We start from the raw sequence: 24,411 nt of genomic DNA on the forward strand, positions 1-24,411 counted from the left end.
GAATTATTTATCATTTTAAAAAAACACTTCACAAGAACAACAGCTCTAGTGGAATTTAAATCTCCAATAAAGAATATCTATATCCATAAAACAAAAACATCAACAAAAATCACTTCCTCAGATAGTTTTCTGACAATGCTATTTACAGTAGCTCTTCCCACCAGCAACTCATCACGACACTCAGCTGATTTCCATCGTAGCATTTGTAACTGTCTGAAATCCTATTTTTATCATAGTTCTTTACTTGATTATCACGTCTCTTCCTCCACTACAGGATAAGCTTGAGGGTAGAGTCTGCAAACGCAGTATTCACAGCTGTACCTGTGGTATCTGTGTCGGAAAAGGCTACACAAATAAAACTGTTACATAAGCACCCAAAATGTTATCAATTGATTCGATGCACTTTTAAAATGTTTCCATGGTGCTCCAGGACCTTCCAGGTGCCCTGGGTACTGCCTACAAAGCTAAAGAACAGGGTCTCCACCTACACGGAGCATCCAGTGTGGTAGCAAGTTAGCAGCATCTGCCTTATGTCAGGCCCTTTAGATGTGTTAACTTGTTTAATTCTCATAAAAACCCAAGGCGATGGGCATGAATCATCCCAATTTATAGATGAGGAATTAAGAGTTAGAGAGGTAAAGAAATTTGCCCAAAGCCATGTAGTCAATCCTGTGTGTTCTTCCTTCTTTCCCATGTTGCCTCCAAACGCATTGTCTAGTATGTTAGTTTATTAGGGCTCCCATGAAAATACTATAGCACTGGTTGAATTAAACAAAAACTTATTTTCCCAGAGTTTTGGAGGCTAGAAGTCCATGTCAAGGTGTCAACAGGTATGGTTTCCCCTGAGGCCTCTCCCCTTGGCTTGCAGACGGCCGCCTTCTCTATGAGTCCTCACATGTCCTTTTCTCTGTGTGTGAGTGCTTCTCATAAGGACACCGGTGCTATTGTATTACAGCCCTACCCTTATAATCTCATTGAACCTTAATTACCTCTTTAAAGGCCCTATCTCCAAAGACATTGGAGGTTACAACTTCAACATATGAATTTGGGGTGGAGGGCCTAATTTAGTCCTTAACACCTAGAATCTGAGTTTCTCAGTCACAAGACTGTTGGTATTTTGGACCAGATCATAATCGCGGGGAGCTTCCCTGTGCACTGTAGAATGTTGAGTCGCATCCCTGACCTCTACACAATAGATTCCAATAATACCATCCTTCCCAGGTGTAATGATTAAAAATGTCCCCATTGTCATATGTCCCCTGGAAGACAAAAATCCCTTTTGGAGAACCACTGTTCTAGATCCTTTTTATAAGATGAAAACAACTTGAAGAGATTTGAGAACATGAGGGTTTCAAATTGTTGTGAAGGGTGAGAGTTCATTCATCAGAGCAAAAGGATTTCTGGACAATACCTAGGAGGGCTTCTGCCCTTGTGGGTTTGACATAACACAGTCCATGGGGTGACTCTCTCCTGTACTGCTATCCCACAGAAGGAAACAGGCCCTGGGTATATCTGGGACTGGCTCATACCAAGCAAATGAGATAGAGCGGAGTAAGAAGGGAGAACCTGCCTGGTGATTTTTGAGCTAACGAGAACCCTGTTGAATGCTGTGTCCTTGGATTGGGACTCCTCTCTGTGCCCCCTATGAAGCCTCCAGCCACATGGTGAAGCTGGTTTCTAGCTAGTGCTCTTCCTACTTTTCACATGAAAAGACCACAGCCCTACAGCCTTGACCAGTTCAGCAAAGGCACGGTGGAGCCCAGATTCCAGCCCACAGACCCTGACCTGCTCCAGAACAGGACACTTTGCTGCATAAAGGTCTTAAGAGTCACTCAATTCCTACTCTCCCCAGTAAAAGGCAAAGCCTTCCATGGCCTTTCACCATCTTCCCTCTCAACACTGTCGCAAGGCAGGATTTAAACATCAATCCAGGACCCACCGGCTCTGGTTCCACAGTGTGTTTGCTCACAGGAGTACTTTCCCTCTCCCCGCCCGTCCCTCATCACACTCAAAAATATCCAAAACTGTAAGATTCTAGCTGTAGCCAGATGGCTTTCACACTTCGTGCAACAAATTCCCAGCGACTCATCTGTCAGTATCACCTCTGGAGCGTGATTTGTGCTTCCTGCTGCCTCAGGCAAACAGGACCTTCGAAGACCATGGTGCTGTGATCAGGACAACCAGGGGGAGGTCATGCCACTCACTCCCCTCGTACAGACTGAATTCAAGGCAAGAGTGAATTTACGGTGTTTGGGGCTTTTATTTGTTTTTACTTTATAGTCAGGCTGAAGTGAGTGCAGGGCTGTGAAGAGTGGTTCCTTTAATGATGCAACACAACTCAAAGGATGTTTTCCCTTCTTTTCAGCATGAGTGGATAAAATGTGAAAACCCATGACTTTCTGATTCAAGTCTAGGCCAGTTCCTGGGAGATCAAATATTCCACCTCACCCATAGTAGTTAAAGATATGGGGGCCGGGCGCGGTGGTTCACACCTATAATCCCAGCACTTTGGGAGGCCGAGGCGGATGGATCACAAGGTCAGGAGATCGAGACCATCCTGGCTAATACTGTGAAACCCTGTCTCTACTAAAAATACAAAAAATTAGCTGGGCGTGGTGGCGGGTGCCTGTAGTCCCAGCTACTCCAGAGGCTGAGGCAGGAGAATGGCGTGAACCCAGGAGGCAGAGCTTGCAATGAGCCAAGATTGCGCCACTGCACTCCAGCCTGGGTGACAGAGCGAGACTCCATCTCAAAAAAAAAAAAAAAAAAAAAAAAGATATGGGTCACAGAGAAAATAATCCTATTATATTAACATGATTGTGAGCTTTCAAATTCTGGCTAAACTCACTGGTGGTCATAGAGCCCTTTGGCGCTCTGGAATGTGGGACAAGATGCATTCATTTTGCTGTGTAGAGCTTTATTTCAAGGGAATCTGTGTGGGTGCGTGTGTGTGTGAGTGAGTGTGTGCATCTATCTCCCTTAGCCTCTCTTGTTGCTGGCAGGTTCATAATAGAAATCGATTAAAGAACAGAAATAAGAACAGAGGCAAGCATCTGGGCTCACATTAATCCTATTAAGTGTTCAGATGCTCTCGTTTAAACGAACCTGCTGGTTTTGATAACTGCACAGGTTTTCACTGAGTAATCGTGCTTCTGTCACACACACACACACAACACACACAATAAAGCCAGAAAATACTTGTGAACATGGAGGAAGTTGTGTAAGTCAATGCAGAGCATTCGTTGGTGTGTGGCAGACAATAGCTGCTGATGTTTCTTATTTCTTTAGTCTCTAATTTCTTATCCTTTTATTGCTCATGGCAACTAAGCCAGAAAAGAAAATAAATGTCAGAAGACCCAAATCAGTCAATATTTTCACTTGCTGTGATTTTTATAAACATTAAATTGAAAGGACTAAAGACAGAGGCTAAATTAAAGTTTTTGACTGTAAAACCTCCCTATTATTTATGTTACTGAGCCATCTACAAATTTCCATCTCCCTCCCTGGGCTTCCAAAAGGATGGATGATGAAAAGCCAGCTCTAAATCATATCCTCACTGTTCACACCATGAGTTTATATTCTCCCTCAGTGCAGAGGCTCTCTGGCTTTAATAGCCACATGGGGAAGGTTGGTAATTCTCTGTTTCTCATATTTGCCTCCTTGATCGATTCATTCTTTAAGTCAACAAATAGTTATTCAATGCCTGCTATGTGTCAGGCACTGTGCTAGTCACTGGGGCTATCTGGTGAGTAAAAACAGATAAAGTGCCTTTACTGGGGCGCTTATGAGGGGAAAAACATCAATCAATCATTCAAGTCAATGGAAAATCATAACTGGGAAGTATAAGCAATGAGGGGCCTGGTGTTCCAGGAGGGAGGAGAGGGAGGAGATGCAGGAGAGCTGACCTTGCCCCAGGGAGGCTGCCAGGAAGAGGGGAAAGTGAGCTAAGAGGGAGGGGTGTGCAGAAGAATGATGAGAAAATTCAAGGCAGGAAAAGCTGTGGGTGCAAAAGACCCACGGTAGAGGGACCACGGCTTGTGATTTGTTCCAGACATGGATTGCAACCCACTGTAGAGCAAAGGGCAGAGAAGAAATAAGAACACTGGGCTGGGCATGGTGGCTCACGCCTGTAATCCCAGCACTTTGGGAGGCTGAGGCGGGCAGATCACGAGGTCAGGAGTTCGAGACCAGCCTGACCAACATGGTGAAATCTCGTCTCTACTAAAAATGCAAAAATTAGCCAGGCGTGGTGGCACACACCTATAGTCCCAGCTACTTGGGAGGCTGAGGCGGGAGAATTGCTTGAACCCGGGAGGCAGAGGTTGCAGTGAGCTGGGATCGCACCACTGCATTCTAGCCTGGGTGACAGAGCGAGATTCCATCTCAAAAAAAAAAAAAAAAAAGAGAAAAAAAGAAAAGAAAAGAGAAACAGGCAGGTGTCAGGCCTGGTGGTATCTTTCATGTGGGTGGTGGGGGGATACAAAATCAGATTTGCATTTCAGAGAGATTGCTCCAGCTACCCTTTGGAGAATGGGGATAAGACCTGCAAGAATCAATGTGGAGAAATCAGTGAAGAGGCTGCTGCAATCGTCTCGGGAAATCACGGCTGGGATGAGAGTGGTGACAGGGCCATGTGGAATATAAATGTCAAGAGCCATTTAAACAGTAAATAGAAATACCTGGTAATGAATAGAATGTGAAGGGTGAGAAGGAAGGAGAGGTGGAAGGGGAGGCCCAGATTCCTGGCTGTTTTGTCCAGAGATACTGCAATTTCTTTCAAAGGAGTGCAGGAATTGACATTTATTGAGTCCCCTTCTATGGGCCAATTTCTCTTCTAGGCACTTTAAAATACAACAGAAGCTCATTAGAAGGAAGGGGCTGGGGAGGGGAATGGAGTGGAAGGGAACCATATTCTAGAAGAAGCAGATCTTAATTGAACAAAAAGAATTGACAGGTTCTCCCAGAAAAACGGAAGTGATTTGAAAAAAAAAAAAATCAGTTCATTTTAATGAGTATTTGCTGAAATCTGACTATATAGCCAAGCATTGAACTAGTTGCTGAGGGGTTCAATTGTGCTGTAGTTAAGAAAGAAAGGCCTTATGTAAGAAGACACAAGAAGTCAGAGGTGGAGGGAGGGCAGAAAAAGAGAGAGCAGGATCAGGGGAGCATGGGATGGGTAGAGAGGAAGAGCAAAAGAGAGACCCAGAGTTATCAAGATGGAGACAGAAAAGAAACAGAGAAAGAGACATAGAAAGAGAAAAAGCCAAAAAGATAAAATAGAGAGAAAGAAAAACTGGTCCAGAACATGATGGAATTACACTGGGCAGACAGCAAGGTCGCTGCCAGAAATGTTGTGGGCCCCTGCAGAGTGATGTCTCCAACTGGCGTAATGACCTTGAGCACTGCCCTTGGAGGGTCACCAAGATGGTGGAGCATATGGGGGCTGGGGGTACAATGTGAGAGTTTGAGAGACAATGGGACACAGCAGGATTCTTGCTTCCCAAGTGAAATACATATTCTTGCTTCCCTTATTAAAATAAAATGTATTTGATGCTATTTTCTTTTTATTAAGTACTTTTTGTAACTCAGTATTGAGAGTGTTTCTAGATGGGGAGCACTGGACCATCAGGCATACAGTTGCAGCTCAGTGCCAGTGTGTCACATCTTCCATTAAGGCCATTCATGGGCACTTGTGGCAACAGAGGATACTTATAAAAGGAGGAGTTTCTGCCTCTCCCTTAGGAGGACACGGGCCTGGCATTGTCCGTGAGGTGGTAACACAAGGGAAGCATTAAGCACAATGCCTGGCGTAAGCACATCATGATGTGATGTGTGGTCACCTGGCCTGTGAGGCAAACGTGATTTTAAAAGACAACCTGGGTGCCGTACTTCTGAAATAGGTGCCCACCTTGCAGACACAGCAAAGGCCCTAAGCACCATAGCCCTGAAGGACGCCATTACCCTGAGCCATAGTTTCACATGGTCAGCAAAGACCGCTTACTAGAGAAGCACAATAGCACCAGCTCAGCACTGACATGGTGCCTGGCTGATTAGCCCAGATTTCACCACCCAGGAACTTGAAGATCTAAATTTTTCCAATACGAAACAGCCTGTTTATGTTTGGCTTTTTAAAACCTACCCTTTTTCCTTTTCATAGCCCCATCCCCTGAGATTAACCTCGGGGCTGGATCTGGTTTCCTGCTTGGCAGTAAAACTTCGATTCACTGCTCAATATTTGATTCCAAACTCTGCATTTTCTCTTTAACAACAGGCTGTTCTCCTCTCATTTCCTTAGCACACAGGTTGAGGAATATAGAAGATGCTTGATCAAACTGGGTAAATTGAATTTGCTAGAAAAATAGAATCAGAGGGCCAAATAACCTTTGCATACATAAATACAGAAGAGTTCTTTTCTTTACCAGTGCCTGTTTTGCACAAACATGCATTAAAAGGCTTGGAAAAACATCTTCCAAAATTGACAATTGTTTTGTTAAGGGATTCTTTTATTAATTTAAATATGTATATTCATGTTTTCTAATTTTCCATTAACAGAGATATGTTATTGTGTGATATAAGCGGGTAATATCATCCATGCTGTGATGGTTAATACTGATTAACTGATGGTTAATACTGAGTGTCAACTTGATTGGATTGAAGGATACAAAGTATTGATTCTAGCTGTGTCTGTGAGTCTGTTGCCAAAGGAGATTAACATTTGAGTCAGTGGGCTGGGAAAGGCAGATCCACCCTTAATCTGAGTGGGCACCAGCTAATCAGCTGCTAGCATGACTAGAATATAAGCAGGCAGAAAAATGTGAAAAGAGAGACTGTGACCTAGCCTCCCAGCCTACATCTTTCTCCCGTGCTGGATGCTTCCTGCCCTCGAACATCAGACTACAAGTTCTTCAGTTTTGGAACTCGGACTGGCTCTCTTTGCTCCTCAGCCTGCAGATGGCCTATTATGTGACCTTGTGATCGTGTGACTTAATACTTAGTAAATATATATATATATATATATTCCATTAATTCTGTCCCTGTAGAGAACCCTGACTAATACACATGTTTTATGGGTATTTTATTTGTAGTAACACAACTCTAAATTATGTCACCGATTACAAGGGAAATGATGACCATTCTTTATGTCTAACCCTTGATTGGCAGTAAGGAAAACAGATAATATTAGAAAAACCCTAACTTTTTAAAATATTTTTTTAGTGGAGAGATAAGAACATTTCCTATAGTCTATAAAGGGAAAAGACTAGACTTATTAGAGGAGATTTTCTGAGATGCAGGGAACAGACATTATAATAAACGCACTGCTAGTAAAGAAATTGTTTTTTAAAAGAAGAATTATACTTTTTAATATGCAGAAAAGAAAATCTTTGAAGATGTTAAAAATTCTGTAACTTCTGTAGATGTACTGAGTGTAAATCATAATTAATTTATATTTGGAAAGGAAACAGTTCTTAAATATACAGTAAAAACCAAACGACCACTATCTGGAGTTATCTCCTTAAAAATGAGCATTCTCCCTCAAAAACATTTAAGAAAATCTGGGACTATATGGAAGACGACAGCTCACTTGTGACTGTGCTTATGAAGGACACTGGAAGCCAGGAGAAATTGGCAGTGAACCTGCTTTAACGGAAACAGTGTCTAAAGGCCTTTGACTTTAAACTTGTCCATCATCTGGGGAATCTTTCTAGCCATGTTGATCTAAACATTTCTGAAAGCTTTCTCTTGGAATTGGCTTCAGGACTAGGTTACAAACTAGTCACACTGAGAAAAATCAATCTCTTCACAATGTTTTAGCTATGTCTTATGACTTTTTTTTTTAATGTTGCTTTTGGCCACTAGAGGGTGGATTCTACTTATTATCTAGGCAAGTGAAAAAGGAAAAAAAAAAAGTTACTCAGGAGTTTAACAAAAGAGGAGGACTAAAAAGATAAGTGTGGGGAGGGGGGAGGGATAGCATTAGGAGATATACCTAATGCTAAATGACGAGTTAATGGGTGCAGCACATCAGCATGGCACATGTATACATATGTAACTAACCTGCACATTGTGCACATGTACCCTAAAACTTAAAGTATAATAATAATTAAAAAAAAAGAAAAAAAAGATGTCTTTTACAAAAGGAAATAGATGGCACAGAGGGATGCAAATGAATCTGCCAGGTTATATTTAAAGAAGAAATCCCATTCCCTTTAATAATAAAACATAACATTCAAATATTTCTCTACAGCTTGCAAATTCACCAATATGTCCTCTATAAACATATGGTGTCTACAGTTTAAATTATCCATTGTAAAGTGGCCTATTTTTCTTACTTTTTATTTAAAATATTTTTAATGCAAATGTTTGTAATACCATGATTAAAGCACCAAGATTAAATACTAAGTATAATGACAAAATAATATTTTATAATTTGAGTTAAAGATTATTGTGCTATGTGTGTTTACATATAAACAGTAAGAAAAGCATTTTAATAAAATAATCCCATACCCTCAATTGATTATCTAGCATGTTTATAAACACATAAAAATGGCTGGTTTATAATTGAGGTGAGGAAGATGATAAGAAAGTTTAGAAAAGCAAAGGTAGACATACACCCTCACATTCCAGAAGTTTTTCATTATGGGATGCACAAAGATGGGTGCTGGGGCCAGCAAAGGCAACAAATGGGTGGGAGGGGGGAAAATCAAAGACTAAGACTCTATTATGGCACTTTGAAGAGAAAATAAAACCTAGATAATTACTTTTACACAAGTATGCATACTAACAAAGAGAAATTTTAAACGGTATAAAAGTATAGAAGAGTTTTAAAATGTTTATTTCCTTTTAATTTATTTCACAATCAATTGGTTAAATTTGGTTTAGTTGACCTCTTAGTTACTAATAGACATTCATTTGAGGTATCCGCACTCATCACACTTGGGTCTCAGTGCAGTCCCCAGACCAGCAGCATCAACACCACCTGGGAACTAGTTAGAAATGCGTGTTCTCAGGTCACACTCAAGACCCGCTGATTCAGGGACTCTAAGGGTAGGGCCCAGAACTCCATGACTTAAACCCTCTAACATGGTTCTGATGAGCACTCAAGTTTGAGAGCCACTAAGCTATAGAATAGAAAAGTATACAACGTCTCCCACAATCTCTGACTCTCACAAATGCGGGGAAATGGTAGGGGTTGTCCAAGGAAAATGCTACATATAGTGTGGTTATGGGATTTTTTGTGTTTTGTTGTTGTTGTTGTTGTTGTTGTTTTGAGATGGAGTTTCACTCTGTCGCCCAGGCTGGAGTGCAAAGGCGCAATCTAGGGTCACTGCAACTTCCGTCTCCTGAGTTCAAACAATTCTCCTGCCTTAGCCTCCTGAGTAGCTGGGATTACAGGTGCCTGCCACCGTACCTGACTAATTTTTGTAATTTTAGGAGAGACAGGGTTTCACCATGTTGGTCAGGCTGGTCTCGAACTCCTGACTATGTGATCCGTCCGCCTTGGCCTCCCAAAGTGCTGGGATTACAGGCGTGAGCCACCGTGCCCAGCCGGTTTTGTATTTTAACAGCCATGGCATCTCCTAAGCGCGTTTAACTAATCCAACCGCAAAACATATGGTCAGAACATGTACCAGCTATGGGCATATAAATAAACCAACAGTGAAACATATAGTCAAATGATCTACCAGCCATCGGCACATGGACTAAAGGAAGCTACCCTCCTCTCGAGGTTTACATAAGGGAAAAAAGTAACACAAAGGAATCCCAAAGTGACAACAAATGACGTATTGGAAAAGAAAGGCCAGAATGAGGGAAAGTAATAAGGATATAGCTGTGGCACAATGTGTTCTAGTTCCTCACTGTATGACTAGGAGTCACACATGCCTAAGCGGAATGAGGATAAACAAGTTCATATTCAAATTCGTGAGGGCAATTTTTCCCACATCTCTGATCTAGCTTCCTTAACCCACAGGAATAATATTTTTGCAGAAAGGAATGTCAGAAAATGGAAGATATTAGAAGTATTTAATACAGCACCAAGATTAAGATTTTGAGTAACATACAGACCAGTAGGTAATATTAAAAATAATATTATAGTTTTGTAAAGATTAAGTGTGTTTCAAATTGACTATCATATACTAGACATTTGTGAATTAGCTTTTTGCATTCCTAATTATCTTGCCGAAAATTTGCTCTGAAGGTAATTTATGTTGCTTATCTTTTAAAATATATTTTGAATAAAACATAAAAGCTCTACTTTAAAAAGGAAAGAAAGAAAAAAGCATAAACAATCTAAGGTAACAATTTTTGCAAACCAAAAATTGGGAACCATGATCTGACAAAGTTGCGCTGTTTCCAATTATATATCAGAGGTGGCCTCATAGATACATAGTTTGGTAGCAAAGTATTTGTGTGATGGAAAACAAAATACTGTGACTGGGATTATTCCAGAAAATTTTGGTACACGGAGTCCACAATGCAGACCACGATTATCTTTCTGGCTGTATTTACTTTCATTCCCCTATCACTGGGGACATTCACAGGCACAATGCAATCGTGTCATCCTCTAAGCTTTCTATTAGTCATTGCCATTCTCGAGTAAATATGCTAAATCCTAAATATTGTTAAACACCAGGGAAATTTCTCATGATCCTTTAAGAACAGTTTTAGAAGCACACACCTTCCACTTGGCCACTATCCCTAAGGGCTACAAATGCCCAAGGGCTGAAGCTGACAGTCAGGACTTCAGCTAAAGAATTTCATGGGGAAATTCAGCCTTGATGCAACTGGATTACAAAGAAAATTTCAAAATGTAAATAAATCAGAAATGACAACTCAATTATATGAGTAAATTCTGAATTCTCTTCCAACTTTCTTTATTAAATTAAGGATGCCTAAACACACAGCATTTGTTCATTTAAGAGTTGATAAAGCAGTGAAAAATCAGAAGTGTGTTTTTATTTGGTGACTTAAGATTCTAGGAGAATATATATGTTAATAACCTGAAGGGAAAAATGAAACTTCTTTGAAATAAAGCCAGGAACAAGGCTCAATCTATATGGAATTATGAGGTAAGTAAAGAAGTTTTCTCCTAGACATTCCTTATCACTTGAGTAGGCAAGTTCAGGGGACCTCACCATTTCTTTTCAAGCAACCAAAGATTAAACACTGTTTTTCAACTTTCTTTCTCCTCAAATCTGCTTACATATATAGAGACAATTTATATATATATATATATACACACACACACACACACACACACGTGCACACACACACACAGACACATCACATCACATTCTTCACATATTTAGGTTTAAGGTTATGGTAGATTGAAAAAAAAATAGCTACAAGTTCTGTGCAGCTCCTCCTATCAAGAAACAGAGTCTATAAGCTTGGCCCTGTGACTTGCTCATGCCACTGGGACATTGGCAAACAACAGAAGAAGCAGCTTTAAAGAGAGCATGCATATGGGACCTTGTGTTCTGTTGCTGCTTTCGGAACCCTACAATCGTGGGAAGAAGCCCCGACTGGTCTGCTGGATGAAGAGAGACATGTGGCTTAGTTGCCCCCATCACTCCAGCTAACTGCCAGCAATATAAGAGGGGTCATCCAGGACCCGGCAGTCCCCAGCTGGCTTGCCAGCTGACCACAAAAGCATGAGTGGGCACATGGAATAGAGAAGAGACATCCCAGCTAAACCCTGCCCAAATTATCAACCCACAGAATCACAAACAATAAGTGGTTTTCTTAAGCCATCAAGTCTTGGAATGTTTTGTTACACAGCAATGACTAACTAATACAAAGGTTGATTGCCAGGTACAATGTCTAACTTAAATAAATAAAACCACAAAGATAAACTTTTAGGCATCAGAGACCTGGTAAAAAAGGTATTTTTACGGAGTAGTAAAGAGGAGTCTTCTCAAAATAGTACCACCAGGTACTACATATTCCTTAGTTTAGACCTACTTTAATTGGGCTTATCCAATCTAAAAGCAACACCTACTAATGAATTGAACCTAGGACATTCACTCTGATCTGAGGCATCAGAAACCATCTGGTAGAGTAAAATTGAAACATGATCTTGGTAATCATCAACATATCATTAAGACTTCAGTCCAACCAACTAAGGACCTCTTTAGGCAATTCCTATAAAACCAAGTGGGATTGTAATTTTTTAATGATTTTGGCAATATGTTTATTCACAATATAAACTGTTTGGTAAAAGATAAACATGTGCCTAACAAGTTAACAACATTTGATTGTGATTTTTTTTAACTTTTATTTTAGGTTCAGGGATACACAGGCAGGTTTTTCATATAAGTAAATTACATGTCTCAGGGGTTTGGTGTACAGATTATTTTCTCACCCAGGTAATAAGTATAGTACACAGTAAGTAGTTTTTCGACCCTCATCCTCCTCCCCACTCAAGCAGGATCCAGCGTCTATTGTTCCCTTCTTTGTGTCCATATGTACTCGAAGTTTAGCTCCCACTTATAAGCGAGAACATGAAATATTTGGTTTTCTGTTTCTGTATTAGTTTGCTTAGGATAATAGCCTGTGGATCCATACATGTTACTGCAAAAGACATGATCCCCTGCTTTTTCATGACTGCACAGTATTACATTGTGTATATGTACCACTTTTTAAAAATCCAGTCTACCACTGATGGGCATTTAGGTTGATTCCGTGTCTTTGCTATTGTGAATAGCGCTGTGATGAACATATGTATGTATGTGTCTTTCAAATTCAGGAAATGCAGAGAACACCTATGAAATACTACAAAAGAAGGCCATGCCCAAGATAGTCATCAGATTCTCCGATGTCAAAAATGAAAGAAAAAATGTTAAAGGCAGCTAGAGAGAAGGAGCAGGTCACCTACAAAGTGAACTCCATCAGACTAACAGCAGACCTGTCAGCAGAAACCCTACAAGCCAGAAGAGATTGGGGACCTGTATTCAACATTCAAAAGAAAAAAAAATTATAACAAGAATTCCATGTCCAGCCAATCTAAGCTTCATAAGCAAAGGAGAAATAAGATGCTTTTTGAACAAGCAAATGTTAGGGGAATTTGTCACCACCAGACCTGCTTTACAAGAGGTCCTGAAGGAAGTGCTAAATATGGAAAGGAAAGACCATTACCGGCCACTACAAAAACACACTTAAGTACATAAAGCAGTGACACTATAAAGCGGTCACACAAGCAAGTCTGCACAATAACCAACTAAAAACATGGTGACAGGATCACATCCACACATATCAATACTAACCTTGAATGTAAATGGGCTACATGCCCCAATTAAAAGGCACAGAGTGGCCGGTTGGATAAAGAAGCAAAACCCAATGGTATGCTATCTTTGAGAGACCCATCTCACACACAATGATACCCATAGGCCAAAATAAACAGATGGAGAAAAATCTACCAAACAAACAGAAAACATAAAAAGGCAGGGGCTGCTATACAAATAGGATTTTAAAGAGAGCATTGAGGCACTGCATAAAGAAGCACGTGAGTGAGATGGAAGAGGAAATGCTGTTTTGAAAAATCAATACCCGCTATGAGTTGACAATGTTCTGGGATTTAAAGAAAAGGTTATGTATCAATCTGCTTCAGGCAAACCTAAGAGCTCTGAATCTTCATTAAAACTGAAGCTGTTCTGTAAAAGCATTCAGTGAATGCAGCAACTTTCACAGTGTGCTTTCAAACTGCAAATTAATGGGCATGATAGAAAACAATGGAAGAAATACAGGGCATTGTCCCCAGGTTGTTGTATAAATCCAAACCAATGAAGAATTTAAATGCATAGTGAAGGCTACAAGTCCAGAAAAAAGTAGGACATGCAGCAAATCTCCTTATTGGTGGTCTAATTGGGACTCAGGAAGTAGACTACCATAAGTCACAATATATCTCAAACATCACCTATAATGGCACATTGTTACAGAGTTTCCAATCCTCCATGATTGACATTGACGGCAAATCATTTCCACTAAGCCAGTCTTGTGGGAAGGCGTGCTACTGAAGGAACATGTCATCAAAGCTATCTCAAAGTAGAGAACTAAAAACAACAAAAGTCAAATATGAAAAGGAAAGAACATTTCAGGGACTATAATGTCACCAGAGCCAGGTGAAAAGAAACAACATCAAAGGAATCCATGACATATAATCATCAATGCAGGAGGTTTTCAGGGAATCAGGTGGTAAGAAAAATTGCTAGTAGGCATTGGGGACCCCAGAAATGAGAAGAGCTAATCAAGAGAAACTACCTAGGCTGAAGGGTGCATAGCTGTCATGTGGTTATGTCTGCATTTCTCATTTGAGTCACAGGAAAGGAAGTTTCTTTAATTAGGTGCATCCGGCAGGCATCAAATCAAATAAAATCATAAGCTTCAGTCACAGGTAGTTCTCAGCATCAATTTCAAAGAAGTGGATTGCTGGATCTACAGAATGAAGCAAAGACAGAAGAAGGGGGCTCCCTACCTAGATGCGGTTCAATACCCTTGGAAGTCAGAGTTGCGCTTCTCTGTGCTGGGAAGTAGGAAACGTCTATTGGTCAAGTATCATCCATTGAACTATAATGAAGGCCACCTTTCATGCCAAGCTTTGAGGCATCCACTTAAAGATCCATCTCAGGAGCTATGCTGAGACAGAGGAGTCTGGAATCTTGTTCTTGTGATTGGTTCAAACATAAGTGAGAGCCCAGGTTTGCACCTAACTTGGGGTGTCACATGTAGGCTTCTGAGGATTAGGGTTAAAATATCACCTCCGCCTCCTGTTGTTTAAACTCTCAATGCCTCCATTACCTTATCCTTAAATAAAAGAATAGGAATACTCCAACGGGGGGCAAGTAAGAGAAAATAAGTGTCAGGTGTTTGGCACACAGTCTATTATAAATGCAGTAAGCTTTCATAGATAGTCGCTACTCTAGTCAAAGCCAGATGGGATGAAGTCACTCTCTGGGTCAACAGAGCTGAATCAATGTGGCTGACAAATCCCAATTTAATATATTAATTTGAAGTGGCTATTAACACAGCTACCACTTGAAAAATCTGGTTAGAATACCTAATGGGTACGATGTACATTATTTGAGTAATGGCTACCCTAAAAGCCCTGATTTCACCACTATGCAATCTATGCGTATAACAAAATTATACTTACACTTCATAAGCTTATACAAATTTTTAAAAACAGAAAAATTTTTCAGTCAGTTATTTACCCTTGGTGAGTCAAGGCCACTTTTGACCCCATTTGCTATTTACTCTGAGCTAACAGAGGCTCCAGCAGGTCCCAATTGCCTGGATTCAAGTCCCAGCTTCATCCTTAACTGGCTGTATTGTCATGGGCAGAGAAATGACAACAACAATGGGTCCCACTTCATAAGGACTATGGGGATTCAAGAAGCCAATTCAATCAAAGAGCTTTGCCCAGCATCTGGCACTTAAATAGTTATCACCGGAGTCACAGAAAGCCACCATCAAGGCAAGCAGTCGCTTAACCCTGCAAGAAGTTGAATGTGCACCCATTATTCAAGAATGCCCACTATGGCCATTTCATCTCACCTCCAGTCCAACTCTAACCTTGAACCTCATATAAAAAGAATAAAAACACAAATGTAAAAATGTCCTCAGTGGTCTTTCCCAAGTAACGGAATATCCAATGTCTGCGCTAATGCTCCACCATTTTATAGATTTCAAGGTGGAGGACCATCTGTATCATTTCATTTGAGCTTCACAAGCCAGTTATGTTTGTCTGCATTTTAAAGGTGAGAAAAGTAATGCTGATAGAGGCCAATGGCACAGCTGTTCGGAGGCAAAGCTGGTACTTAAATTCAGCTCTTCTCAACGCTAAGCTCAGGCCCCTTTCCATCCAGCCAAGGAAGAAAGGCAAGGCATGCAGGATTTCAGTTCTAAAATCCAGATTCACAGACATTCTCAACAGTGAAAGAAAACAGTGATTGGATCATAATAATTTTCAACCACATAGTAAGAGTCAATGGCTTTGTTACAAAATAGTGGTAGGGAGGTCCCCATCTGACCCTCCAGGGCCATAAGCTTGATGAGAATGTTCTGATACTGTGCTGGCAGGGCTGCAAAACGAGCTGTCCTCAGAAATGCATAGGTTAGTGACGTTAAGTTGTTACCAGCTGCCATTTGCAACTTTCATTCCAGGCAAGATGACGTAAAATGATTTCTGCTGTCCTCACAGACTCTGCTAACTCCTATTTTTAGTAGGCAAATCTCACACCTTTTCAACACTACTGCAGCAAAGAATGAGTTCTGAATGATTTGAATTTTGAGGGAAAGTCAGGGAGTGGTGGGAGCAGAAATCCCTTACAATTAAAGACCAGTTCATTAACGTTTTCATACATATGGATTAACCAATTTAAGTGAGGTGAAAAAGCAGCCTTGTGAATAGATTTGTAATATCAGGAATCTCATAAAAATTTCATGCTCCACCAGCAAGTGCCCTTGGCTTAACAGCAGTGTCCTTCCTCCCCTTGTATTAATTTCTCAGGTCAGAAGCCTAAAGAAGGCAAATATCACGAATTCTACCTGAATGCCCCCACAACTTACAATCAAACAAGATGAAGATGGAGAATGGCTGTGGCCACAGTTTGGAAGCATGCTTAGGAAAGGTACCTTAGCGTCTGGACGTCTAGTGGAGCCTGACTCAGCTCCTCACGCCCTGGGCAGTGCCCTCTCATCCTCCTCCCTCCCCTGACTCCCAGGATACCGCCCTCACCCTGCAACCTCCCGACCTCCCAACTCACTGCTGGCTCCTCTGCCCTCTCCTGTGGCCACTACTACCTCCAACCTCAAAGCAAGAACTCTGCAACTCTCTTCCAATTTTTTCCCCTTTCTTTTTACACTCTCACCCTCTCCTATCTTGATGGCTTCCATGACTTTCTCTAGCATCCATACAATGGGAACTCTCTCTATATTTTTTCCCCTGGTTTCAGTCTTGTTCCCACATTCCAGCCCCAAGTAAGAACCATTTACCGACACATCCATGTTGCTCAGCCTGCTGTACCCAAGCCCTAAAGAGGGTGCGTATGCACATTTCCCATTTCCTCTGAATCACCCAGAGGGGTCCTTTGACTCCATTCACACCCTTGTTCCCCGCATCCAACTGACAACTGAACCCTGATGATCCCGATCCTCACATAAACGTTTAACCCATCCTTTCATTCCCACACACAAGTTCATGCCTTTATTTCTATTGGTACTTGCTAGAAGATCTCTATCTTTTCATCTCTTTTTGACCATAATATATGCCAAATACTATGAGAATAATCTGTCTAAAATACATATCAGCTCATATATACCCAATAATGCCAAATGTCTGCAAGTCTTCTTAATCCAAACTCCTTAGCATCTACATTCTCCCCACATGTGTCCCCATGAGCATTTTCAGCCTTACTACCTATTGCTGCATCTAATGCATCTTATCCTGCAGCAAACTGGATCCACTCTTCTTTGAACTCCTCCCCCATGACCCAGGACTTCCCCCACGTATAAATCCAAACAATATTTCAGTGTCCAACTCATTGGAAATTCTGAACTATTGTTCAGAATTTTATATGAACTATTGTTCATATAAAAATTCAATCAATTGCCATCCTCAATACTTCAAGCATTTTAATTAATTAAGTTCTGTCAATGCCCTTCAACCAAAGACTACTAAGGACACACCTGTAGTTGAACAAGTTGAGTTTATTACCCATTGCAGTTAGAGAGACTGCACGCCATGGGAATCGTGGAGTGTCTCAATTAGAAGGTGTTAGATGGGATTTATTATAGGATTTGAACTCTGGTTAGGTTATTTGGGGAGATTTCACTCTAGAGTGAATGCTGGATGCTGTCAGAAAGCAGGAGCAATTCTTATCTAAAGAATGGGAAGGCTAGAGCAAGACCAATGCTGTATTTGGTAAAGAGGAAGCTGTCACTCTACATATGTGACACTAAGAACTGAGAGAAAGTGGATACTTGGTATTTTGCGGGTTGCAGGGTGACCTTGTTTTTGTATTGGACAAAATTATAAAGTGGTCTTGTTTTGCCTGACTCTATCATAGCCTCTGAATGGTCATATCCAATATCCGTGTTATGTGGAATTGTTGATGTTCTTAAGTCCAGCAGAAGACATCATGGCCCAGCTGTAAGCATCAGACCAGCTCCTAACGACCTCAAGGTCTACCTGTAAGTGCCAAGCAAGCTCCTGACATCAGCGGCTGCTCTTCTTTTTCTCAGTTCTCAGCATCATCATGATGTCAATATACAGATTTAAACATTCTCTAAAGCAGAGCACAGATTATGAAGAGTAAAGCAAACTCTCCCTTGCTACAGATGCAGCTGGGTGATCAGGATTCCATTTGGGGTCCCAATGGTGAGGTGGGCATCATATTTTGGAATACAGAAAAGGAAGGACATGAGGGCAGGATTAGGATCTGGAGGAAAAAGGTAATATATTCTATACAATCTACAACTCTCAAGAATAGTGTGATATGCAGATCAGAAACCCCCTACAGCATGTTAAATATAAGAATGCCTTCATCGGCCGGGAGCAGTGCTCACGCCTGTAATCCCAGCACTTTGGGAGGCCAAGGCAGGCAGATCAAGAGGTCAGGAGATGGAGACCATCCTGGCTAACACAGTGAAACCCCATCTTTACTAAAAATACAAAAAATTAGCTGGTTGTGGTGGTGGGTGCCTGTAGTCCCAGCTACTAGGGAGGCTGAGGCAGGAGAATGGTGTGAACCTGGGAGGCGGAGGTTGCAGTGAGCTGAGACTGTGCCACTGCACTCCAGCCTGGGCGACAGAGCAACGCTCTGTCTTAAAAAAAAAAAAAAATGCTGGTAAACTAGATAAAGTTTTTCTGGTTAATAACAGATGAAAGTTGTCCACTATACTTACTATACTTATCCAAAAATGTAAAGGCACATGGGCCTTAGTGAGCTAAATGTCTTCAAACCTTTGCAGGTATATTTATTTCTTTATTGCTGTTCAATTGCTATTAAAATCCTGACCATTAAGTCTTATCCTTGATCCTGTTTCCAGCAAATATTATCGGACTACTGATATTTTCAGGTCTGAGTTTAACAGAAGGAGCAGTGTCAACTGTGTCTTTCGGGACATACAGACCAGAAATGCAGCTCACATGTAAGGCATATGTAGAAAATACAAAAAAAAAATTACATCTAAAATCCTTACAAATATAATTTTCTTTCAAAAAATTTCACTTGGAAAAAGTCTACATTTCCTTTGGTTTACAGCCTATTATATATCTGGATGATCTAATTGAGTTACCAGCCCTTTGGTGAAGAAGAATGGGCAGAGGAACTTGGTTGGCAACTGTGCCATGTCTAGTCTGGGATTTCAACTGCAGTTGAAATGATGAGCATCTTAGATCTTGCTTGTTAAAAAAAATTATAAACATATTTCCACGTAAAAATCTCCAATGCCCTGTCCCTTAAATTCCCTTAAATAGTAATATGTGAGGCACATTCTATAATGGCAGGGTTAATTCAATTCCACAAGTTTAGAGTAATAACTCAAGTGCAAACTATCTTCCTTCCTGCCAGGGACTCCTTCCAATACCGGTCATGTACAGCTATTATCTGCAGAGGCCACCATTGTATTGAGAACACAAGCAATACTGTGGCTCCCACCTGCAGGGGAAATGGCACCCCCACCCCAGCGAGTTCCACCTCATCCTGTTTGTAGCAGCTCCAAGTTCTCACTTTCTTCAGCAGATTTCAATTTGCAATTTTTAAGAGAACGGGTAGCCTATCACTTAACACTGTCACTGGAAGATAACATTTCAGTAATTACTCAGTGCTGACATTTTATTATTTAATCTTAAAATCCCATCAGAAATCCCTAGCCCGAAAAGCTACAAACGAAGTTTGAAAATAAAACACCCGGCAAATCTGATTTGCAGTAATCAAAATGGCATTTTGTCAGATGGGAACTAATTATCAACCTGACATGACTTCAATCTGCTGCCATTTTATGAAATGAGATCCGTTTGCTCTCTGTAAAGAAGATCAGCCTTGCTGCTCCATAGCTAGATGCCCAATTTCACCTATTCTCGTGAGATTCTTCCATTATGCAAACTGGTGTTGAAGCAATTACATGCTCCAAAAGATGAAGACGAGAAATTTCACATTCACAGACTTGTCATGTTCACCTCTTAAAATGTAAGTTCTTGCCTGGTGTTAAGATGCCTTTTTTATTTTACACAGTCACCTAACAATCTGAAGAAACATCCCCTCTGAAGGCAGTTTCAGCTCCCAGGTTCAACAAGAGGGCCCTGTCACGATTACAAGGCTCTGCTTTGAGACTGCTGAACAAATGAAGGGATCATGTTCATTCCACGAACAGAATGCACACGTCTTCAGGCTTTTCAAGGCTATTAAGGGGCTACTGCTGGACCACAGACAATTATCAAGTCAAACGCTCCAAGTGGGCATGAATGTTTTAGCAGAGAATAGACGGAAGGAAAGTGGAAATTAAACAGGAGTGATTTCACCCCCACATAGCTCGAGAATCCTGCTGGAATCTCCACGGACAGAAAGAAAGAAGAGCTTTCACTAGTCCATGCCAGGAAATGGGCTGCCTGCCTCTCATTTCATGCTCTGACATATAACTCTCCTCTCTTTTCTGATAGAGGGGAAAACTGAGTCCCAGAGATGCCTGTAAATTTCCTATGGTTTTAGTCAATAAGCGAGGATGTTAGAGAGGTCCTTTCTACCACTCTCGGCTGCCTCTCCCAATGTGGAAAGAGAAACATCAGGCAGTATATTTTCTATTTGGTTGCCTCACACGTGTTGAAAAACTCTATTTGGTATTATTAAAAAACACTATTTATCTCTAACTCCCTTCAATTTTAAGTTTTAGAAATCAACTAACTATAAGAAAAAGTTTGGGTCAGGCATGGTGGCTCAGGCCTGTAATCCCAGCACTGTGGGAGGCCGAGGCAGGCAGATAACCTGAGGTCAGGAGTTCAAGACCGGCCTGGACAACATGGTGCAACCCTGTCTCTAGTAAACATACAAAAATTAGCAGGGTGTGGTGGTGGGAGCCTGTAATCCCAACTACTTGGGAGACTGAGGCAGGAGAATCGCTTGAACCCGGGAGGCAGAGGTTGAAGCCTGGGCAACAAGAGCAAAACTCCATCTCAAAAAAATTTTAAAAAAGAAAAAGTTTGATATAATTAAGAAAAGAAGTCAGAGGAGAAAGGGAGGAGAAAATAAAGTTGTTTTCTGGTCTTACAATATTTAATTCTTCTTTGTGGGGCTTCACAGAGAGAACGGAACTCTCAGGAGACAGGTAATAAAGTATTAAGGAAGTTTTTGTTCAGAATGCTGCTGAGGGGTATTTTCACATGTGTTACGACATCCAGAGCAGAGCTGGGAACAGCGTGCTCGTGAGTCAGTACGTGAGTAAGCCTCTGTTCTTCCAGCACAATTGCAGCTTGTTTAGTTTGCAAACACAAGTTGTCTCAGTGATCCACATTCCCAATAGGTAAGGGCCAGCGCCACACTGCCTCCTCCCACAGGACACGCAGCTCACAGCATGTGAGCCCGAATCCACATGGAAGAAAACTGGACCCTCTGAGGGGCAGCTATTCCTGTCTCCACCCTGGCTCTGAAGGAGAGCATGGAGGTCAACCAAGAAAAATATCCTCATGTCAAACACAGTGGAGAAACTGTTTCACTTCAAGGTTTATGAGATCCAAAAATGTTACTGCGATAGTTCATTTCGGGTGTCAACTTGGCTAGGCCATGGTTCTTAGATACTCGCTCAAACACTAATCTAGATGTTGGTATGAAGGTGTGTTTTAGATGAGATTAACGTTTAAATCAGCAGACTTTGAATGAAGCAGATGACTCTCCAGAATGTGCGTGGGCTGCATCCAAACAGCTGAGGACCTTAAGGACAAAGACTGAGGTTTCCCAAAGAAGAAATAATTCAGCTCAAGACACAACACAGAAACCTCGCCTGAGTTTCCAGCCTGCCAGCTTCCCTACGGATTTTGGACTTGTGAGTCCACACAATTGCATGAGCCAGTTACTTAAAATAAATCTCTCTCTCTCTCCTCGCTCTCTGTCTCCTGTTTCTCCGGAGAATCCTAACTACTAACATTGTTACAAAGCAGATTAAACAGCCCTATTCCCTCTGAATGTCAGAGCAGAGAGGAAAGAGGCACTTGGCAAAATATCAGTTGCTTAGAAAATCGGGGAATTAAGAGTCTATGTGAAAAAAGGCTTTTCAACACCATTCAAGTGCCAAATTGCATTTCTCAGTAACTTGTTGAGTTATTCGTTGAGTATGAGACATGCCCTTTGGAAGTTCCAGGCCAGGCACTGGAGCAGCAAAACCAGGGACACCGGCATTCGAATCTGGGCTCAGCCCCCATTCTGGGTGTGTAGCCACAGGCACATGACTGAACCTCTAGAGGCATTTCAAACCTTGGTGTAAATGTGACACTAAAAAGACCAGAGATGTGAAGCACCCGGCTCAGAATCTAGAAAGATCAGTGCTCACTAAATAGTGGCTTAGGGTGATTGCTGCTGATACAAAAGCTATTAATAAAACACAGTTCCTCCCAGCCCTAAGGAGGAGAGAGACACATACAAGGATAATTAATGTTCTGTTTCCAAGACCACAAAAGTGATATTGTAGGTGACTGTCGGAACCCAGAGGAAGGGAAACTGAGTCAGCCCCAGAAGTAGAAGTTTGTACAGTGAGGTGGGGTAACGGGGAGCACGCATTCCAGCTAGAGGCCATTGCACCAGCAAAGCCAGGGTCAAGCCAAACCAGATACTGGCCAGCCATACTGACTGGCCAGGGAGATGTGTGGGGATTCATTGTGCTGGGAAGCTTTCTAAAGAGCCAGCTCGTGTAAGGATGGAGACATACACAGAATAGAAACGAGAGGAAAGGGCTGCCCCGTGCATTCCTTTCTGACTACACTAGTGGGTTGTGCACACACAAAATTTTGACTAGTAATCACTCACTTCTAGGTATCAAAACCTCCATAATTAAAAATCTGTAATGCAAATGCAGAAGGCATTTGGAAATTAAATGGTAAAAGTTTTAAATTCTTACATAGGGAGCCAGTGATATAACATAATGTGCATAGAGTAACAATTTTAATAGATGACACAATTCTGAATGTATTGCACCGTGCTTTTCATGCACGTTAAGATGAAAGAAGATATTCTGTTAACTTAAGCACACAATAGTAAAAGATACACAACACAGTGAAAGTTCTGCAGTGACTTACAGTAAATTGATAAAAATGCTTAGCCTGTGATGAGATTAAGCCTGTTTTCAATTTTCTTTATTTTGCTTGTTTTTTCTACAATGAATGTGAGTTGATCATGAAATGATGAAAGAGTATTTTTTTAACCCTGCCAAGAGTAAATCTAAAAAAGAAAGTGTGTCATAAATGAGTGGAATTCACTTTTATTCACAAGTATATCAGTAAGTATACTTACTTACAAGCATACCAGTAAGTATACCACTTTTATTTACAAGTATACCAAGATGCAAAAGAAAAAGTAATGGTCTTTTGAGATTGGTTTGAGATTGAGAAAAGGAAGATGTACTGTGTAGGGGCGGTACCCACCTGGATCACAGAGGCATTTGTAGCTGGTGCCCACGCTGCGGCACGTGCCATGAGCACAGGGGCTGAGGGCACAGAAGTCAATAAGCTGGGCACAGGTCGGCCCTGTGAAGCCCGGGCTGCAGTTGCAGGTAAAGTGTACCCCGTCCACATAGCAGGTGCCGTTGTTCTGGCACGGAGACGAGGCGCAGGGGTCCACCTTTTCTTCACAAGCAGATCCGAAGTATCCTGTGAAAAAACACATGAGAGCTTAAAAAAACTAAAACACATTTGCACATAATAACTAATCAACTGAGTCTGCTCCACTGTATATGCATAACAATTAATTCATTCACAGCTTCCAGATATGTCACAACCCAACAAGATAGGTAGGTTGTTTTTCCCACCTTTAGTAATGTAGGGTTAAAAATATTAAGCCCCACAATTCCATTTTTATTGAAATATAAGGTATATGACTGTTTAGGAGTACATACATACGTGTACATGAATATATTTATGTGCACACATGTGTATATGAACATGTGTGTATACTCTAGAAATATATCAAAAATAAATTAATGGTAATTTCCTAAAGGAATATGGGATTTGGATCAGCAGAGGGCTCTCCCCTCTTATTTTGTATATATTAATGGGGAACACATTTCTTATTTTGCTTTAATAGATATGACATAATCCTGAATTCAAAAAATTAAAACCATATCAAATAGTAAACAATGAAAAAGTCTCTTTTTCATCCTTGTCCCTTTGTCTCTAATTCCCTTCTCTACAAGCAGCCACTGTTAACAGTT

The 24,411-nt window shown here is 41.1% G+C and overlaps 1 protein-coding gene across 1 annotated transcript in view; it reads right to left on the minus strand.

The window, feature by feature from the left end:
• The window catches only part of DNER (delta/notch like EGF repeat containing), a 356,927-nt gene that overhangs the window by 66,061 nt on the left and 266,455 nt on the right, over positions 1-24,411 (minus strand). Inside the window, exon 8 of the mRNA NM_139072.4 lies at positions 23,627-23,851. Within this exon, the coding sequence (NP_620711.3) occupies positions 23,627-23,851 (225 nt within the window). The remainder of the gene's footprint in view (positions 1-23,626; positions 23,852-24,411) is intronic.

This window comes from Homo sapiens, chromosome 2 (genome assembly GCF_000001405.40).
Source record: "Homo sapiens chromosome 2, GRCh38.p14 Primary Assembly".
Taxonomy (NCBI): domain Eukaryota; kingdom Metazoa; phylum Chordata; class Mammalia; order Primates; family Hominidae; genus Homo; species Homo sapiens.